The sequence below is a fragment of the Homo sapiens genome, chromosome 9 (assembly GCF_000001405.40).
Source record: "Homo sapiens chromosome 9, GRCh38.p14 Primary Assembly".
Taxonomy (NCBI): domain Eukaryota; kingdom Metazoa; phylum Chordata; class Mammalia; order Primates; family Hominidae; genus Homo; species Homo sapiens.
The window spans coordinates 126,480,269-126,498,330 of record NC_000009.12 but is presented as its reverse complement, the minus strand read 5'-3'; the positions used below and the strand labels follow the sequence as shown (position 1 = coordinate 126,498,330).

General features: G+C 51.6%; 1 protein-coding gene across 2 annotated transcripts in view, besides 1 other annotated feature; it reads right to left on the bottom strand.

The window, feature by feature from the left end:
• MVB12B (multivesicular body subunit 12B) overlaps positions 1-18,062 on the bottom strand; it is a 180,212-nt gene that overhangs the window by 8,710 nt on the left and 153,440 nt on the right. For both annotated transcript variants that reach the window (NM_033446.3, XM_005252297.1), the window contains exons 8-9: positions 16,907-16,962; positions 14,299-14,358 (exon numbers count right to left, since the gene is read on the bottom strand). In NM_033446.3, the coding sequence (NP_258257.1) occupies positions 14,299-14,358; positions 16,907-16,962 (116 nt within the window). The remainder of the gene's footprint in view (positions 1-14,298; positions 14,359-16,906; positions 16,963-18,062) is intronic.
• Positions 15,667-15,961: a silencer, noted in NCBI's record as "tiled region #3753; HepG2 Repressive DNase matched - State 15:Elon, and K562 Repressive non-DNase unmatched - State 21:Repr". NCBI's record gives its function as "represses a minimal TATA promoter and a strong SV40 promoter by Sharpr-MPRA in HepG2 and K562 cells {active_cell/tissue: HepG2 | K562}" and the evidence as "EXISTENCE:reporter gene assay evidence [ECO:0000049][PMID:27701403]".

Sequence of the window (18,062 nt, the reverse complement as noted above, 5' to 3'; positions counted from 1 at the left end):
GGCAGGGAGAGGTGGGGGAGATTCTGTACAGCAGCCCCACCTGTCTGCTTCTCCAAGCCCCCCCGGCTCAGCACTCCAGTCATCCCCCTCCATCTCAGGCACTCCCACGGCCTCGGCTATGATACAGGCTCTTCCTGTTTCTAAAATCCTAAAGCCTCAGCTTCCTCACATGAGGGGCTCCACGTCCTCATCTGTTTCCTGAAGATGAGGAATGCAGCCCTGGCTTCTGAAACGCTGCGGGAGGAGAGAGGCAGGGCCCAGCACAGTGCCCACGTCATATGGCGAGGCCTGAAGCGCTGCAGTCCCGGGAGAGGCCTTCAGGGCCCCACGGCCCCATCCTGCAGGCCTCTTCTGCGAGACGAGGGTGGGCCGCCCGCTGCTTTCTGAGCCATATTCCAGGGCCCCTCCCCAGGCAGTACTTCAGTGGGTGTGGGCGTTTTGACAAGGACCCCAGGTGACTCTGAGCAACTGTTCGGTTTGGAAACCCTGCACGTCTTCTTCCAGCAGCTGCAGGGCCAGCTGAAGTCCTTGCTTCCTACTTGGGCCATGGTTCTAGAGACATTGGAGAGGCTGCATACCCAGCGGGAAGCCCCAGCTCCAGAAAGCGTGAGAAAGTGCTTCACTAGGAGGAAGGCTGTTCACGAGCAGGTGGGCCTTGGGGGTAGGGAGAAGCCAGGATGCTCACCTCATGCCCCGGAGATGAGGTGGATTCCTTGTTCAATGCTCTCTTTGAAAGCGAGGCCCTGTAGCTGGGCCTGGAGCTCAGGGCTGTGACCCCTGTGGTCAGGAGTGGGGAGCCGAGTAGTCTGGCAGGACAGAACCTCCTTGCCACTACTGGGGAGTGAGCCGAGGTCCCATGAGGCTGCACCACCTGACCAAGGCCTCGGGGTCAGGGCACAGCTGGGAGAGGCCTTCAATGACCACACTGCGGGGCGTGGGCAGAGGGGTGGGTGAGGGCTCCCGCAGACCCTTTAGGAAGCTACTTCTGTTTTCCTAACAGCCCGCCCAGATGGTTCATGAGCTCTAACCTGGGAGCTGCAACCCAGGAGCAGGGAACCCCAGATCCAGCTGGGGGGTCTCACCCTAAACCAGGGGGTGCAATAAGGGCCCCGCTGGTTCCATGTGGTTCTAGGGCCCCCCACTTCCAGCCAGTTCAGCCCCTGCTCCCTGGAGCTAAGAGCTCCAGAAGCAGAAGCCTGTGTGTCTGGGCACTGCTGTGTCCTCACTGCCCAGCACAGCACCCAGCCCGGGTCACTGAATAAATGCATGGCCATCTGCCAGTCCAGTCTCTTCCTCTCTACTAGTCCGCATCCCAGTCATTCTGTCAATCCTCATCGGTACCCAGCCCCTCCTGTCTCCTCCAAGCCTGGGTCTCCCACTGGGTGATGACAACGCTGAGAGTCTGTCTCTGAGGGACACCCTGCCCTAGGCTGCCTGTCCCCTGGGGGACAGGGGCCTGGAGAGCGCCCTCACCTTCAGGGCACCCTATCTCACAAAACACCTTCCACCCAGGATCTGGCCTGTGTCCAGGAGCAGGGCAAGTGATTCCCAGCTCCCCACCCTGATGCAGAGCCCTGAGCCCCACATCCTGGGGAGAGGTCTTTCCCCTGCATGGTTCTCTCTCCTCTCCCAGCCAGTTCTGTCAGGAACACTCCTCCTCCCTCAAGTGGCAAAGTCCTACGTGTCCTTAAGGACCACTAAAGGGGCACTTGCTCTGGGAAGCGTGTTCCTTCCCCGGGGAGAACGGACCACAACAACACTTTCTATACCCTCCTCATGCTCAGGGCAGCTGTGGAGCCTCAGCTGTAGCTCCAGAGCCCAGTAGAGATCACAGCCTAGAATGAATGCAGGAATGAGTGAACAGTGGGTGGGTAGCGGTGGGTGGGTGGGGGAGTGGGTGAGTAGATGAATGGGTGGGTGAGTGAGTGGGTGGGTATGGGTGGATAGGTAGTGGCTGAGTGGATGGGCAGGTGCATGAGTGAATGGGTTAATATGTGGATGGGTGGAAGGGTGGGTGGGGTGATGGGTAGGTGTATGGATGGGTGGAAGGGTGGGTGGGGCGATGGGTAGGTGGATGGATGGTTGGGTAAGTGGGTGTATGGATGGGTGGGTGGATGGACGGGTGGGTAGGTGGGTGGGTGGGTGGACAAGTCGATGGTGAGTGAAGAGACACATCAGGCTCTGGGCATAGCTCAATGCAAAGGAGAGAAAGCAGCTAGTTTAGGGGCTCAGTTCTTGGGCAGGTAGAAGGTCATCCTGGTTTCTAGTCCTTGTAGCAGCAGCACTGTGCCTGCACAGCCCTGGGGCCCCTGGGCATGACTGAGTGACAGCCCATCCCATGGTACAGTAACTCATGCATGTCAAGTACCAAGCCCAGGGCCCATCCACAGCAGCATGTCACACCTGTGGATGATGAAAATGAGTCTAAGTCTAGTGATTTGGTCTGTTTCTCTATGCAGACAGTGTACAAGCTGCAGGTTCACACAGTGCTGGCCTGTGCGGTGTTTCACAATAGTCATAAACACTGAAAAGTGGAAAGACTTTGCATAGGATGCCAATATTTATCTAGATGTTATTGAAAAAAACATAGGGAGATACAATTCCAGACCCTCATTCTCACCCAGTAAACCCTCAGTCTCACAGGTGGGTGGTGGGTGGAGGTGACCTCCTTTCCAGAGGCCTGTGCTCTCCAGTTTGCCACAGTACCCCGCACTCCCTACACGGCGCCCAGCTGGGAAGAGTGTCCACTGCCATCTCACCACAGTGACTGTGTCTTGTGTGTGCATGTATAGGATGATGGGGGCAGAGCAAGCAAGAAAGCAAAACGTTTCTCGTACTTGTGACTATTAAAAGTAGGAAAATGAAAGATAGAGAAAACTATGTATTTCAAAACAAAAATGGGAGAAAGCACATTTTGTGGTGGAAATGAAGACGGCTGCATGACGAACAAAGACAAAACCATGACTTGCTCTCGCCTCGCTCTCCCCAACCCTTCCCTCCCTGTGGCACCTGGGTGTCCAGCTGTGCTGCTCTGGGTGGAGGCTCTGGGCAGGGCTGTGCACCGTCAGATGCCCTGGCCACTGAATAAATGCTATTTCCCTTCTCTTCTTTCTCTCTCTCTCATTTTTTTTTTTTTTTTGAGACAGGATCTCACTCTGTTACCCAGGCTGGAGTGCAGTGGCTCGATCTCAGCTTACTGCAGCCTTGACCTCCTGGGCTCAAGTGATCCTCACACCTTGGCCTCCCCAGTAGCTGGGACTACAGGCATGCACCACCACACCTGGCTAATTTGTGTATTTTTTGTAGAGATGGGGTTTTACCATGTTGTCCAGACTGATCTCAAACTCATGGGCTCCAGTGATCCACCCACCTTGGTTTGGCAAAGGGCTGGGATTACAGGTGTGAGCCACCGGGCCTGGCCTAAATGCTATTTTGGTGTCTGCAAACAACCCTGGGGGGGGGTGGGGTGCTCCCTGGTCACTGAGTCAGCATTTTAGAATTCACCTGAATACCACCTAAAAAGTGAGTCTTTGTATTTCTCCTCTTCTAGATAGTTTGTAGAAGAGATTTAAAACCACACTGATTGCCACCACTGGTTACTGGGTGGAAAATGAGAGCCGTGAGGTGCTCTGAAAAGGTGCCCTCCCCACCCTTTGTCTTGATGCTTATTTTTACATACATGCCAGGTAGCTTTCCACTTGTTCATCTTTGTAGGCATTACTTTACCTAAAACTAGAGGTGCAAAAGTTCCCAGAGACCATAAGAAAAGGGTAGGAAAATCCTCCTCTGAAGGACATGCAAAAGGCGAGATGTTCACCTTGACTTCAATTCTGCATGAGCGGGTATGACTCATGGCGGTAACCAGGGCAGGTGGTTCTGCCTGGCAAACGTAATCTCTGCTTCACTTTATTTCTGCAGGCTCAGCCTGGTTCTCTTATTCATATGATGAATGCCTTGGGCCACCACGGGAACAAGATGTGTGGTGGTGGTGGCTGCCAGGACACTGGCTGCCGAGAAGACCCAAAAGGGCAGTGGGGAAGGGGGCCTCCAAGACTCTTGGAATTAGGAACTCTATTAATACAATCCACCGTATTAATATGCTTGGGGAGAAAAAATATGATCATCTCAATGGATGATTCAAAGATATTTGTCAAAAGCCACCATCCATTTCTGATAAAAACATTTAGGAAAACAGAAATAGATGGCTAACACTTTAACATGAAGGAAAAAAAAAACAATGTCTATAAATAGCAAGTCAAAACGCAGCACTATGGGTTAATATTGAAACTACAAACTTCCATTTAAAATACGGATGACATAAGGAGGCCTGGGGACCTGCAAGTCCCTGCCGAGGTGTCGGACAATGGCACACAGGAAGAGGAACGACCTTGCCAGGATGGAGGCCTCAGCATTCACAGGCGACGTAACTGCCTGCCTGGGGAACCGATGAAATGCAGCTGGAAAGCCATCAGAAACAGTAAAAGAAGCCAGAGGGATATCTAGCTCCAGAAATATTACACAAAAGTCAATGGTTGCTTTACATATAAGTGGCAGAAAATAGAATGAGAAAAAAGATCTCGTTCACAAGAACCACAAAGACAGAAAGCACCTAGGAATGACCTAAAGAGAAAGGACCAAGACCTGGGCTTACAAGAGGCATCCCTTGTTTCTGGATGGAGAGACGCTTGATCTAAGATTCCGATTACTATTCTGTTCAACCATGTGCTCAATGCAGTTCCAATAAAAATCGAGAGTGGGCTTTTCGGAACTTCCTTCGCCCCCAAGATTCTAAAGTTCAACTGGAAGAATAGTCCTGTGAGTAAAATTAGTAAAGTTCTGGGGGAAAAAAGAGAGAACTAACCCTAACCTATATTAAAACTTACTATAAAGCGATAAGATTCAGAATAGTGTGGTACTAATATAAAAATAGAATAACAGAGCAGAACGGAATCAAGAAAAACATCCACTGATCCACTTACATATGATAAAAGTGGCATTTAAGAGTCAAAGAAAGATCGCCAACATTAAGAAAACCGGCTAATGTTTTAGGGTAAAATAAAGCTGTCTGTAGTTCTTACCTTCTAATAAATTTCAGATGGATTAAGTAGTTGAAAAGTATTTAATATTTTAATATATAAAATAATAAGGGAAAACAGGGGTGAATGTTTTCATAATCTAACTATGACACAAAGCCCAAATAAACAGAGAAAATTGCCCACGAACATTTTGAAACTTTTGTATAGCAGAACACATCATTTACAAGCTGAAAAGACACTGATTAAAGTGTGTGTATTTGAACTCATAGAGAAAAGTTTGCTCTCTTTAAAACGTAAAGAGCTCTTTAAAATCAATGCAAAAGCTACAGAAGCTGATAGAAAACAACTGAGCAGAGAGCGAGCAGAAGACGCTCGCGTGAGAACACAGTGGCTCATAAGCACCTGAAAAGTTGTTCAACTTGAAGAGTGGCCAAATTGTTTTTTGTTTTAAGAGACAGGGTCTCTCTCTGTCACCCAGGCTGGAGTGCAGTGGCACAATCATAGCTCACTGCAGCCTCAACTTCCTGGGCTCAAGTGATCCTCCCACATCAGCCTCCTCCTGAGTAGCTGGGAAGAAAGGCATGAGCCACTGTGCCTGGATAATTTTTTTATTTTTGTAGCGATGGGGTGGTGCTATGTTGTCCAGCCTAGTTTCAAACTCCTAGGCCCAAGTGATCCTCCCACCTTGGCCTCCCAAAGTGTGAGGATTACAGGCGTGAGCCACTGCACCTGGCCAAAATAAGCAGAGATTAAAAATTAAATGGAGGGGCACATTAAGGTCCCAGTGAGTCTTAGCTAGAATAAGGATGTGAGGAAAGGTCCCCTCAGGCACCACTGGTGGGACTTCCAATAGCCCCGCCCTGTTCAAAAGGCAAATGGTAACATACATCCTCTTCCAGGGAAAGACCCAGGCGAGCCAGGCAACATGTACAAGGAAATCTATTGCAGCGGTGTAATTGTGAATAATTGGAAGCACCTCAAAAGTCAGTCAATAGTGGATTGGTTAGATAAATTATGGCATAATCATAAAAGGGAACAACATATAGTCATTAAAAAGGGTAAGGCTGATCTGTAAAGGAACATGCGAAGACGTGTAAGACATACTAGATAGTACAGAGGCAGGTCGCAGCCGGCAGTACTGCATGAGCCTGCTGAGCGTGTGTGTGTGTGTGTGTGCACGTGCCGCAGGAGTGGACGGAGGGGGAGGTTCACCTTTTACATGTTCCTGTAATGTTTGCATTTTTATAAACATGGACAACCTTGGTACTCAGGAAACACTAAATATTTAAAAAATCAATTTTGATCGGCAGGGGAGCTGCTTAGAATGATAAACTGCCCAAAAGAACCTCAACAATTTATGGGAAGATAATTAATCTTGTCTGTGGCATAAAACTGATTCCTGCGCTGTGGTCAGACGCTTGTAGAGTCTATGAAGCGGTGGTCCCAAGCTATATCCTGTATTTGAAAAGAAGCCTCAGACTTCTCTCATGATTTCTGCAAGGCATCTACTTTACTAATTCGTTAGGTTTCTTTGTTTTGGGCTGGAATTAGCTCAGTGTGACAGCTCTGTAGGAATTTGGGTGATAGTTTTGTGTCTTTTAGCAATATATTAAAGGGAGCAGACTAGGTTGGTTTCTTTTTATTTATCTAACTTTTAATATCTGAAGTAGGCAGATTTATTTCCCCAAACATTTCAGCTTTCTAACAGAAAAATAAAGAAATAACAAGGATTCTGGGCGGTGAAATATTGAATCTCATAGGCAGAGAAAAGGCACCTTATTTCCTGCTGCAGTTTAAGATCCTACCACTAGATGGTGCAAAGGGACCGCACATTTTTCAGGCTGCACCAGTTCGCGCCACAAAATTCTTCAACATCTAATAAGCACCAGGAAAGCTTTCCAAAAGTAGAAAGAATGAACAATTGTGCGGGAATAGGAACATTTTGCTTTTATAAAATTGGGACGCTGCCATTTCATTATTGATACAAAAATCTGCTTCACTTTATTCCTGCGGGACATAGGTCCCAAATCTACGCTAACCTCGTATATTTGAAGAGACCCGCAGAAGCCCACGCAATGCGGACGTCTAAAAGTTGAATTCAAAAATCCTTTTCACCTCATGCTGCCAAATGCATTTTCATTAATTCCACCTCAGTGTCGTGACGTAAATGCTAGTGGAATCGGCCCCAAGCTAAATAAGCAATAAGCCCCATTTTTCAACGCACAAACACATAAAGATGTCAGCTCAAACTGTTTACTAATTAACACTTAAAAAGACACAAATTAGATATGCGTGGCTAAGAGCAATTATAATCAAGACGGATTTCTCTAGTCATTTGGGAACTGAAAAAAATGCCTAATTGCTGGAACCAGTGTTTTAAAAACTGAAATCACGCCAGTTAGCAAATATGTTCATTTAAAGAACATTCCACGTGACTACACTCTTGAGGACTGACTACAAACATGAGAACAAGGAAAATATTTAGGTATAAAATTAAAACTGTAAGCTCCCTTAGATTTATAACTTCTTCATTAAATATGTCTGCAAACAGCAGCCCATAAAAACCTGTGGCAATTAAGTGGTTAAATGAACTGCCTCCCTTGTCAATTTTAAGCGGGTGATTAATATTAGAGCATCCCTTTACTAATTAGACCCTCCCTCATCTTTCGGCTTTAAAGTCGAATGAAAATGGAGGCTGTTGCTCCGCCAGGAGTGCGGCAGGCTAATGTGTGCTTCCTCCGCCGCGGTTTTGATGGTGGCACTCCTGGAAGGGAACGGGGAGCACTGTGGTTTCTGCTGAGGTTGGCAGCTGATAGAAACGGCTCCGCATGGGGCTGGAAGTCGCTCCGGACTTCTCCACTGCCCGGTGCCCTGTCATTACAGGAATGGTTCACTCCTGTTCTCACAAGGCTTGCGGGTAGTTAAGCACACAGCATGAAACCTACACCCAAGGCTGCTGCCTCCTGACCGGGATGGTGAGGTCTTCCACGGATGCCAGGGCGGGACCGTGGGTGGGGAGGGAGGATACACAGGTAATCAAGACATGAGGATTATTTTAGAAGCTCCCGCCTGGACTGCAGAGCCAGGCAGCTCCCACCCTGGTTGCGATGGGGAATCCATCAGCTAGAGAAATGGGGCAACTGCTTACCAGGGAAATAAAGAGCGGCAGAGACAGAGAATATTTATACACCCATCTCCTCACGCCCAGAGAAGATGCTTCATCATGGGCGCTGGCTGCGAAATTACACTTTCCAGGCTCTGGGACACAGACAGCCTTTTGTCTGGAGAACCGTAAGGGCTTCACTGGGACAACAGCCCCACCGGGTCACCCACTGCCCTCCTGCAGAGCCAAACTGGAGGGGAGGGGACAAGGCACGGACAGGTGGGGCCGGGACAAGAAAACTGCCCACGGTGGCCACGAGGCTGCCACTGACCAGCCCCTGGTCACCTCCCTGGCTGAGGGACGATGAGGTAAAAATTCACTTCCTCATGCCTGGGACTCATGTATGCGGGCCCTGGGAGGACAGCAAAGCCCCTGCTCTGGGTGCGAGGTGACGGAGGTGGCAGGAGCACATGGCTGCTGGAAGATGGCCAGGCAGAAGGCCACTGCTCTGTCATGGGGAGCCAGCAGGGTGACGGCGTTTGAGTTGGAATTTCTCTATGAATCACGGCTTCCTTCACTTTCAGCCACCCGCGCCATCATGGAGCATGTCTGAATCGTGAGAGGTTTTCTGTCTTTCCACAGATCCTTTCCTTCAAAATTTGCTCAATGGCGCATCCACTGATTCTAACTTTAAAACATGACCGTCCTTGGGCATTTTTCATGAAATTTCACCCAAGTGCATCAGGTACCACGACTCTTGGGGAGACCCTGGTGAAGAGCAGGGCAGCTACATCTAACCACGCTCCACCAGCTGCCAGGTGCCCTGACTGCCGCGCTGTGTGGCACGCTGGGCTGGGATGAGCAGGCCTGTGTTCCACTTTGGGGTGAGGGGGCCTGGGAACATGCCCCAGGGCCAAGCCTATACAGCAAATTTGTCCCCTACCCCAGGCATCCACACTGGGAGGCTGTGTCCTGTCCACTGCCTACACAGCCCATGAGGGTCCCTGCAGACACCGGCATCTGAATGGGCTCATTCCCCTTCCAGTTCTCCAGGGCAGCCTGGCTGTCCGGGCCCAGGAGCGCATGCTCCCTGGGGCTCCTCAGGATGCTGGGGGCTGAGGGACACCCACCCACAACCAAGTGACACCCTGTTTGTCAATCAGTGCTGGGCAGCTCCTAGGCCAGGCCATCTGTGTCCTTGTGGGGGTGGAGGCAGCTCTGCTTGGCTAGCTCTGGGGAGCTCCCTGTGGCTGCCCATGTCCCTAACCTCCATGCTCAGAATACACAGGGTCACACGGTTTGTTGGAGGGTGACCGTCCCTGAAGCCGAATGGTGGCAACTGTGCTTCGGCTTCGATTCAGAAACATCCCTCAGGCAGGGCATGGTGAGGACAGTTAACGCTGGCAGGAGGGACACTGGCTGCAGTTCTGGAAGGACAGGACAGTGCTGCCTCAGGGCTCACACTTCTATTTCCCTTCAAGTTGGGACCACTCTTCAGTAGATGAAGACGGTCATGTATTCAGCCAGGGTCACACTCAGACCCCTGTTCAGCTCTGGGTTGCTGCTGTGGGAATCTGGCCAGTCACTTAACTTCTTGAGTCCAGACTTCCGTAAATGGGTGGACCCCCCTTCCTCCCACGTGGTGCAGAGGGATCCTGAAGGGAAGCACCTGCCCAGCACAGAGCAGCCTCCCCCTGGATGCCAGGCTCTCCACCCTGTCTGGGAATCGTGGGCGAGCCTGGGGAGATGTTCTGGACGAGCGGGAGGCACGGTCAAAGGTCTATGCCCCTGAACCTGAAAGCAGTCTCCCACTTGTATTTACTCTATTTTTTTTTTTTTTTTTTTTTGGTTTAATGGTATAAAACACAAAGGTTTACAGTGAGCAAAGCAAATTCTGAGCAGAGACTTCTCCACCCCCAAGCCCCTCACTAAGGGCAGCCAGACCTGTTATAAATGGAAGGCACAAAATCAAACTCATCCCGACCCAGGGAACACAGCCCACTCCAGGGCCAAACCTGCAGAGTCCAAGAGTGACAGCCAGTCGTTCTGGCTCCAGGCACCACTTCTCCCTGAGCCCCCAACTCCCACGAGCAATGCCGAGTTCAGTGGCTAAAAGAAGCAACTTCAGGTTTATTTACGGAGAAAAGCCTTTGCCACGGCTGCGGAAGGAGCCCGTTGGCCAGAGTGTGTGGACATCAACGTTACGCGAATGGCTGTGCATGCCAATGGCTGGTATAAGGAACTTTTAAGTCCTCAGGTTAAATGAAAAACTCTGTGGAGCTCTCCACTGCAGCGATACTTGTTATGGTTTTCTACCCTGTTTAAGGTTCTAACCTCTCCCCATTCCCCCACATTTCTTTACATCGACTTTAATTTACTTCAATAGCAAATACAGACCTGTTTTGTTATTTTTTTTTTTTTTTTTGAGACGGAGTCTCGCCCTGTGGCCCAGGCCGGAATGCAATGGTGCAATCTCGGCTCACTGCAACCTCCGTCTCCTGGGCTCAAGTGATTTCTATCTGCTTCAGCCGCCTGAGTAGCTGGGACTACAGGTGTGCTCCACCAAGCCTGGCTATTTTTGTGTGTGTGTTTTTAGCAGAGACAAAGTTTTACCATGTTGGCCAGGCTGGTCTCAAACTCCTGACCTCAGGTGATCTGCTTGCCTCAGCCTTCCAAAGTGCTGGGATTACAGGCGTAAGCCACCACACCTGGCCCAGACCTGTTTTTCTTTTAACCCGTCACTAAACCCAAGAAATACAGCTGACCTTGGTCCACAGGGATGGAGCTTTCAGCCCCAGCAACAGAGCAGCGGGACAGTGGAATGGGTGGGCCTGTGCCGACTCACGCCCTTCTCTGTGGACAAGGAGAACGGTAACGATGGTGACGGTGGTGGCTGTGATGACAGTGGCAGCCAGCAGCACTGAGGCAGGCACTGGTTCAGGCCATTCACTGGACCTTTGCAGTTAAACCCACATAGACTCTGGACTAAGCACTATTATTACTATCCTGATCGTGCAGAAAAAGAAATGTTGGCTCAGAAAAGTCAGTGGAAGATCTGAGATTCTAGCCAGGCACTGACTCCGGGGTGTGCCCCAACCCCTGGCTCTGCACCTCCTGGGGGTGGCCACACTGTGACTCGGAGCGCCCGACATTGAGACACTACATTGTAATGAATCACAGATTTCAGTCCTTAGAGTGGGGAAGAGAATAAGGTTTGCAGGGTTCCCACCACCCGCCCTGGACCCCACACTGGGACCGTCACCCACTTCACCCCACCCCAGCAACTCGAAGGCCCACCCAGGTTAAGGAACTAGACTGACTGGCCACCAGCCTAGAGAGCCCCCTTGGAAGGACACAGAGCTGCCACTTTCCGTCACAGTGGGGAGGACTTGGAGCACGACACACTGGGTCTCCACCTTGTCTTTGGCCAGTTACTCCACCTCTCGGAGTCTCCATTTCTCCCCACGACACAGGGAGGAATGAGGCCTGGGGTAGGAACCAGTGATCACGTATGGAAAGCCTCAGGCCCCAGGCTGAGCACACAGCAGGTGCTTAAACGGTGCCACCATTAGGCCCACAGGCAGGCCGGAGCAGAACGGGAGGGGAGATGGCTCGACGCTGAGGCCGCTGCTGCCAGCACGTCCCACCTATATCCATTTGGCATCACAAAGCACCCCGTGAGACAGGTTCTGCCGTGACCCCATGGTAAACAGCAGGTATGTGACTTGCCCCTGTCCACAGTGGAGCGGGCTGGTCTGGAGGTATGTCAGTGTAACCTCTGCCCTGGTGACCACCTGTGGCAGCAGCAGCTCCTCTGAGGCCTTCCTCACATACCCTGGGCTGCACCACACGCAGGGCCCCATGCAAATGGGCTGTCCATAAGCAGGTGGACTTCACAGCCACCCACAGCTCCCCTGCTTTGAGAAGGGCAGGTGTGAAATTTTATGCACACCTATGTTTCTAATGTCCCAGCCAGCCATTTTTTCCCTGAGTTATCAAAAAAAGAAAAAAAAATCTATATATGACAATCAGGTTGGTTTTTATGATTTACTGAAAATCAAAGACAAAGGGGGACTTTTTTGTCTTGTTTTTGCTATGACAGGTTTAGAAATTTGTTGTACTACATTGATTCAATTTTGCTTGATTTCAGCCATCTTTCAATAATGCAGCCGGCTTCTGCTAGCTGGGTACACAAGAGAAAACCCCAAGGAATGGAGAATATTGAAATGGTTCTACCATTTCCATCTTTGAGATGAATGTTCCTCTCGGAGGAGAGCTGGCTGTGGCGTGTGACTGCTTAACCACCCGCTCTACAGAAGAGAAGCCACACACCCCGTGCTGTCTTAGGGAAACAGGAGGGCCCTGGTGGTCTGACTCAACTCCCTTTCTTCAGAGTTATCATCCGCATGCCAGTCCTGGGTTTCTTTTTTATTAGGAAAATGTGTGAACTGTTTGAAAGCAGGCTGCCAGATGTGTTCCAGCTTATGAAGCACAGTGGAAGGTACCCTGACCTCATGAAGCACAGTGGAAGGTACCCTGACCTCATGAAGCACAGTGGACGGTACCCTGACCTCATGAAGCACAGTGGAAGTACCCTGACCTCATGAAGCACAGTGGAAGGTACCCTGACCTCATGAAGCACAGTGGATGGTACCCTGACCTCATGAAGCACAGTGGAAGGTACTCTGACCTCATGAAGCACAGTGGAAGGTACCCTGACCTCATGAAGCACAGTGGACGGTACCCTGACCTCATGAAGCACAGTGGAAGTACCCTGACCTCATGAAGCACAGTGGAAGGTACCCTGACCTCATGAAGCACAGTGGACGGTACCCTGACCTCATGAAGCACAGTGGAAGGTACCCTGACCTCATGAAGCACAGTGGAAGGTACCCTGACCTCATGAAGCACAGTGGAAGTACCCTGACCTCATGAAGCACAGTGGAAGGTACCCTGACCTCATGAAGCACAGTGGAAGGTACCCTGACCTCATGAAGCACAGTGGAAGTACCCTGACCTCATGAAGCACAGTGGAAGGTACCCTGACCTCATGAAGCACAGTGGAAGGTACCCTGACCTCATGAAGCACAGTGGAAGGTACCCTGACCTCATGAAGCACAGTGGAAGGTACCCTGACCTCATGAAGCACAGTGGAAGGTACCCTGACCTCATGAAGCACAGTGGAAGGTACCCTGACCTCATGAAGCACAGTGGAAGGTACCCTGACCTCATGAAGCACAGTGGACGGTACCCTGACCTCATGAAGCACAGTGGAAGGTACCCTGACCTCATGAAGCACAGTGGAAGGTACCCTGACCTCATGAAGCACAGTGGAAGTACCCTGACCTCATGAAGCACAGTGGAAGGTACCCTGACCTCATGAAGCACAGTGGAAGGTACCCTGACCTCATGAAGCACAGTGGAAGTACCCTGACCTCATGAAGCACAGTGGAAGGTACCCTGACCTCATGAAGCACAGTGGAAGGTACCCTGACCTCATGAAGCACAGTGGAAGGTACCCTGACCTCATGAAGCACAGTGGAAGGTACCCTGACCTCATGAAGCACAGTGGAAGGTACCCTGACCTCATGAAGCACAGTGGAAGGTACCCTGACCTCATGAAGCACAGTGGAAGGTACCCTGACCTCATGAAGCACAGTGGAAGAAGGTACCCTGACCTCATGAAGCACAGTGGAAGGTACCCTGACCTCATGAAGCACAGTGGAAGGTACCCTGACCTGCCCCTAAATTGTGGAGACGCTTGGTCATTTCCCGAAACCCCTCCTGGTGGCAAATAATAAAACAAAACAAATGGAGGAAGAAAAGTCAACCTGGTGCCTGTCCTCCAACCTCCACCTTCCCAAAGCTGAGACTTCTTTTAAAAAAGGAGAACTGAGGCTCTGTCTGTCATGTAAAACATTCTGACTTAGAGAAGACAAGATGTGGGTCATATTTGACTGGAAGTAGGAAATACATTAGAATTTAGTTACTTTATCTAAGAAACACATTTGGGTGCAACGAAAGTGTTTTTCTCAGAAGAGAACGGAACACCTCCACCTGTCCCTCTCTTGGAGTGGATCCCTAGGGGAACACACGAGAGACGCCGGTGTGCAGGCGATGGCCCAGGCCTGCCCTCCCCTCCCCTGATGGCTTGCTTACCTCTTTTTCGATTTCTGCTAGAGATTTGATGGTGATTCCCAGGAGATCAAAGGGCTGCATCTGAAAACACAGATGAAGTTGCCCTTTTAAATAGCTGGAAAATGCTCCTCCCACACTTACTTTTATGCATGACAATGGTAACACCTCAAGCCACGGTGTGATCTAGCGTTTCTCTACCCACTTTCCACAGGAAGACAGTCAGTGGGACTCTCGGTCACGCGTGGGGGTGGCAGGAGAAGTGATGATAGAGCCTGCTGCAGGAATGTGGCCCTCAAGGTGCTGGCCCCTGTGCTGCGGGACCTTTGCCTAGTTGTGGTCTGTGGCACCCAGGGGGATCCAGGTCTCCTGGAGGACTGACCGTGGCTGGCCTGCTTCACCTGTCTTCTCACCCTGCCAGCAGAACACGCAGGCAAGGTTTGCTCTTTCTCGCTGCAGCTATAAACCGGAGGTGCCCAAGCTCTCCCCGGAGGCCGCCCAGCCACTGTGTCTGGGTAAGGCAGGAGGTTTAAGGAACTCCAGGGAGGAAGAGTTCCTTAGGGGGAATCCAGGGTAGGAGCTGGGGGGATTCCAGGTCTTTGGAAATGCCAGGTAAATGAAACAACTGCCCATCAATTATCATTTGAGAAATCGATGTGGAAAAAATGATAACATTGCATTTTAATGAGAGTTTTTATAATTTCATGAAGATTGGAGACTTAAAAAAATGCTGGCTTTTCAACAGACAGCATGAAAAATCAAATACACATGGCAGTTGAGTGAGCTAGAGGCCCATAGAAGCCTGGACTCAGAGGCTCGGAGGGCAGAGGGCGTCCAGTCCATGTGGCTCCTGGTCTGAGTCCCTACTGGGCACATGAGTGTTCTGTGCTCCCCAGAAGGGTCCCTGGCCCAGCCTCCTGGGGCCAAGGCTAAACCTGAGGGCCTTCGACAGAACCCCAGGGCCCGCATGGTCCTGAAGGGCGGCAGCTCAGGGATGGGAGGGGAGCTGGAGCCTCCGCGAAGCCAGCAGGGGTTTCCTGTGAGGCCAGCTCTGGAGTCTGAGGACCCAGACTCAAAACCAGTCTCAGCGCCTCCTGGCGATGCAGCTGCGGGTTAAATCCCTTCCTCATTCCCTCGTCCATTAAAAGCGGCGGCCCCCGTAGTGGGGCTGCGGGGCGCTGCACTGAGAAGAGCAGGGAGCGCAGGGCACCGGGCCTGGCTGGGTATGTGTCCTTGGAGCCCTGGCCGAGGTGGCAGCGCCCGGCAGCAGCACATTCGCGAGGGCGATCTTGGGACGGGGCCACCGAGTCACACGTTCCGCTCGCGGCTGCTCTGCCGGTAGCCACGGAACAGTGTGGTGCTCTCTGTGCTGCCAAAACGAGGGGTGCGAGAGCGGGGCCGCCTGCCTGCGACCCAGCAGAGGTGCAGCTGCTGTGTCATTAGGCTCTAACCACCCCACTAAATTCTCCCAACTGGAGCTGGTGAGCAGGACAGAGCTGCCTCTCCCAGGGAACGGCGGCAGAGGCGCCAGCGTCGCCATGGCAACGCGGCCCCGTGGAGTCGGCTGAAGTTCCTGGAGCTCCGCATGTCACATCACGAGCATTTTTCAAGATTAAGCTGCTTACCAGAAGGGTTCAGAGGAGGCCTATTCTATTTCACGAAAATGGAAACTACAGAGCAGGTCAAATCGCAAGCCGGGTGGTTTTAAGCTGGATCCAAGAAAAACACTAAAGGATTCTTTAGCTGTGCCCAAGCTGGGGCCTTCATGTTTATTAGCTAGTCAAGGCCAACTTCTGCAGAAAGGATCAAAACCAGAAACGGGTTTGCTGAGCCAGCGTGGGGCAAGCCTGCGCAGCTGGGAGGGGGCCACTGCCACCTTGGGGGCTGGCGCCATTGGAGGGCTGACCCTAGCAGTGAGAGGCAGAGACCCCACTGCCATGCAGGGTGGCCGCCCCTCACAGTCTGAAGTTGGCCTTTGGTCCCGGCCAGCTCACTCGGTCCCTCTGATAAAAAGATGGCGTGAGCCTGGCCTGCGTGAGAGTGCTGATGTGGATGGTTGGGTCCATGCTGGACTGGCATGGGCAGGAGACCACAGCTAGAGGCACCACATTTGCATGGCGGCCTCCGTGTCAGAGCGCAGAATGCAGCTATGACAATGGGAAAACGAGGCAGCCTCCTTTCTACAGGAAATTGTCATCCTTAAGTAAGAAAGAACAAAACTTACTAAGTTGGACTTGGGAGACAAAGAACATTCACAACCAGGGAAGCTCAGGTCGGGTTAATCACGTGCGGCATGGCAAAGGCTCAGTGCACCTGAGCTTGTCTGACAGCCTCTTGCTACTTTCCCATCCCCCAGCTGTTGTTTTCTTCATTTCTCAAACACCTACTACATGGGGCACTGGCTGATAGGGCCAGAGATGCACACGACCCACCCCCCAACCTCAGGAGTTCCTGTCACTGGGTTGCAGGGTTCAGCTTCCAGTGGGAGAGAGGACACGCAGGCGGACAAGATTCCGGTAGGGGAAGGGGCGTGAGTACTGCCAGAACAGCCCTGCGTGCTGTGTAAATCAGGATGGAGGGACCTCAGGCTGGGGGGTGGCAGAGGGGAAGGGCGATCATGCATAAAACTTACACTTTCTGGAACACAAGAAAACTTCTCTGAAATCATAAAAGGCACACCATCCATTGCTGCAAAAGAAGAAAAAAAAAGATGGCATTAAAGGTATTGAAGATGGCATTTAGTTGTCCAGCAACTGAAGATGTCGAAACAGAGAATATGAATCCGTCACTGGATGGAGCCAGGTGACATCCAGCACAGATGTGCTGGAGCTATGAAAGAGGACAGGTCCCACCCCTGCTGCCAGGACACACAACCTACTGAGAGAGGCAGGCGCCTCGTCATCCCCTGAGCACCAGGCAGTTGTGTAGACAAGAGCTCTAGGAGCAGAGAGCGGCTGGTCCAGAACCCCTACTCTCCACCCCTGGAGTCTGGTCTCTGATCTGTAACGGGAGAGTCACCAGGGGCTGGCAGCAGGATGAAGGTGACACAGCTGGCAGGGACAGGCTGCAATGAGATGAAGGCAGTAAGCACGTGCATTAGACATGCTCTAAGGTGCTGTTGGACTCAGGGGAAAAGACTAAGTGGGAGGAAAGAGGAGCTCAGGAGTCAGATTGGCTGGGTTCAAATCCCAGCTGGTGACTGCAGATGAGCAACTGAAGTTGAAAGACGAAAAACTGAAGTCACATTTAAAAAGATGGCGCCACCTACATGACAGGGTGCCTGTGCATCAGAAGTGGAGTGTGTGGGGCACCTGGCCAGCGCTGGCACAGAGCAGGTGCTTGGCATGTGGGGGCAACAGTGGCTGTCGCTCTCAGTCACTCAGACCCAGGGCATCAAGGGCTGACTAGAGGCTCACCAGTGTGCTCAATTTTAACAGGACACGAGAAAAAGGGCATGGAACGGGGACGCAACGATGGAGAAACCAGGGGCCTGGTTCCTTTTCTGTGGCCACCCCTCCCTCCGCCCTGTCCCAGGGGATCGCTTTCAAAAGCACACGGACAGAAACGACCCAGGGTGTGCCTCCGTAAGTGAGCACTTCTCTATGAATTATAACCTCAGAGAGGAGGACTCTGGTGCCACACCAGGACTGGAAATCCTGCCACATTGAGGAACAGGTCACACTGGACGAGACGTGATGCCGGCATTCACAGAGCCAACGTGGCAGCCATGCGGCTGCTGGGACAGTGGTAGGGGCCTTTCCAGTGTTGGCTTCTCCCTTAGGTCTGGG